This window comes from Homo sapiens, chromosome 7, assembly GCF_000001405.40.
Source record: "Homo sapiens chromosome 7, GRCh38.p14 Primary Assembly".
Taxonomy (NCBI): domain Eukaryota; kingdom Metazoa; phylum Chordata; class Mammalia; order Primates; family Hominidae; genus Homo; species Homo sapiens.
The window spans coordinates 48,132,439-48,135,053 of record NC_000007.14 but is presented as its reverse complement, the minus strand read 5'-3'; the positions used below and the strand labels follow the sequence as shown (position 1 = coordinate 48,135,053).

The 2,615-nt window shown below is 41.1% G+C and overlaps 1 annotated feature.

Moving 5' to 3' along the window:
* Positions 1,373-1,980: an enhancer, noted in NCBI's record as "OCT4-NANOG hESC enhancer chr7:48172671-48173278 (GRCh37/hg19 assembly coordinates)". NCBI's record gives its function as "activates a minimal SCP1, AML or CMV promoter by ChIP-STARR-seq in primed H9 embryonic stem cells {active_cell/tissue: H9 hESC(primed)}" and the evidence as "EXISTENCE:reporter gene assay evidence [ECO:0000049][PMID:30033119]".

Genomic DNA, 2,615 nt, shown 5'->3' with positions numbered 1-2,615 from the left:
ACCAAATTTCCTTGTATAAAGCTACTAACCCAAAAATTAATTAAATACCAAGAAAATACTTTGTCAGATTTTCATGTTAAGCCAGCTGACACTGAAATTGTTTAAAATAGTTTATAACCAATGCTTGACCCCATATTCCTGGGAAAACAATTAAAGCTTCACGTACATTTTGTCAGGCATGGTGACCCATGTCTGTGATTCCAGCTCTTTGGGAGGCCAAGGCGGGCAGATCACTTGAGGTCAAGAGTTCAAGACCAGCCTGGCTAACATGGTGAAACCCCCTCTCTACTAAAAATACAAAAATTAGCCAGGCATGGTGGTAGATGCCTGTAATCCCAGCTACTTGGGAGGCTGAGACAGGAGAATTGCTTGAACCCAGAGGTGCAGTTTGCAGTGAGCCGAGATGGTGCCACTGCACTCCAGCCTGGGCGACAGAGCAAGACTCTGTCTAAAAAAAAAAAGAAAAAAGAAAAGAAAATACCTGGTAGGCCATTTAAACGTTATAAAGGGATTTCATTTGATTGTTATTTTCAATGCATGTTTTCTGGTTGTAAAGCTTTCTCATGCAAGATGGCTGATGTTATAACAGTAGATTATTATGCTGCAGTGTATTTTCACCAGGTAAAAAGGCTTTTTATGGTTTGGATCTTCTGAGAACATTGGAGAGTTTCCTTGCCATCCACACTACAACAAAACTTCAGGACCTTGGGCTTTGGGTTCATCACATCTCTCGGTGGGGAGATGAGGCAGGAAAATAGGGTCTGGAGGCAGTGAACATAAGGCCGATTCACACTTCAGCTGTGACAGGAAATAGCCTCTCCATAGAGTGTAGTCCAAGTAAATGACTTTGTAACTTTACTTCATCCTCTTCATTTACATAGGGCATACCCAAAGCAAAGGATATTGAAACTCCCCAAAATTTTGTAACAGGGCCTTTGAGCCCCTATGCTCAGGCCTGCTCCCACACTGTGGACTGTACTTTCATTTTCAATAAAACCCTTCATTCCTTTCTTGATTTGTTTGTGCATTTTGTCCAATTCTTTGTTCAAGATGTCAAGTACCTGGAGACCCTCCACCATTAACAGTTGGGGTGCAGCTTAGTTTTTATACATTTTTAGGAGACATGAGACTTCAATCAAATACATTTAAGATGTACATTTCTTTGGTCCAAAAAGGCGGGACCACTCAAGGTGGGTGTGCGGGGCTTCCAGGTTATTGGTAGATTTAAATATTTTCTGATTAGCAATTGGTTAAAAGACTTTATTGAAAAACCTAGGACCAATCGAAAGGAAATGTCTGGGTTAAGATAAGGGGTTGTGGAGACCAAGTTTCCTTTTTTTTTTTTTTTCAGATGGAGTCTTACTCTGTCACCCATGCTGGAGTGCAGTGGTTCAATCTCGGCTCACTGCAACCTCAGCCTCCCAGGTTTAAGTGATTCTCCTGTCTCAGCCTCCCAAGTAGCTGGGATCACAGGCGTGTGCCACCACGCCCATCTAATTTTTGTATTTTTAGTAGAGATGGGGTTTCACCATATTGGTCAGACTGGTCTTGAACTCCTGACATCAGGTGATCCACCCACCTCAGCCTCCCAAAGTGAGCCACTGTGGCCAGCCGACCAAGGTTCTTATTATGCAAATGAATCCCCCAGGTAGTGGGTTTCAAAGACAATAGATTGTAAATGATTCTTATCAGACTTAAAAAGGTGCCAGACTCTTAGCTGATTCTCTCCTGGATCAGGAAAAATGCCTGGAAAGGAAAAGGGGATTCTCTACAGAACATAGGTTTTTCAAGAGATGACTTTGCAGGATAATTTCAAAATATGGCAAGGAAATACATTTGGAGTTAAAATATTTTGATTTCTTTCATTATCTGTCATGTAATGTTATGCCAGAGTCAGGATGGAAAGCAGGCTATGTTAAATAAGCCCTTCTGAGGAGACTTTATGGTGTGTAGTGCATGACTCCCCAAACCTTTTAGGTAGGAATTTGGACAACAGAAGAAAAAAGGTCAGAGTTTAACTCTCAACACAAATAGAATAATCAAAACTCAATTGGCAAAAATTTGCTGAGCTTTGTAGAATTCCTTGTCTGAAACCTTTTCCATTGGTTTTACTTTGCCTAAACTCAACCCCTTTTGGTAAATACCAACTGTCTCCATTTGAAATTATAACAGGCAGACCTATGAAATTATTTCCAGAAAACTGTGAATCTATGGTATTAAAAGAATATGTTGAATAATTGCAACAGCTTTATAAGGCAGCCAACTAGAAACTATAATTTAGTAAAAGACTCTTTCCACAGTGACCTCCTGTAGGATGAAAAATTCTAGGACCATGGACTTCAACCAGGAGATTTTGTCTGTTGGAAATAAGATCTTTTAAAAGACTTCCTCCAGCCAAGATGAAAGGGAATTATCAGGTGCTCCCAACCAATCCTCATGCCACTAAGCTAAAAGGAATTGACTCATGTCACCCATTTAAAGAAAGCCACTTTGACCGGGCACGGTGGCTCACGCCTGTAATCCCAGTATTTTGGGAGGCTGAGGTGGGTGGATCACCTGAGGTCAGGAATTCGAGACCAGCCTGATTATCATGGAGAAACCCCGTCTCTACTAAA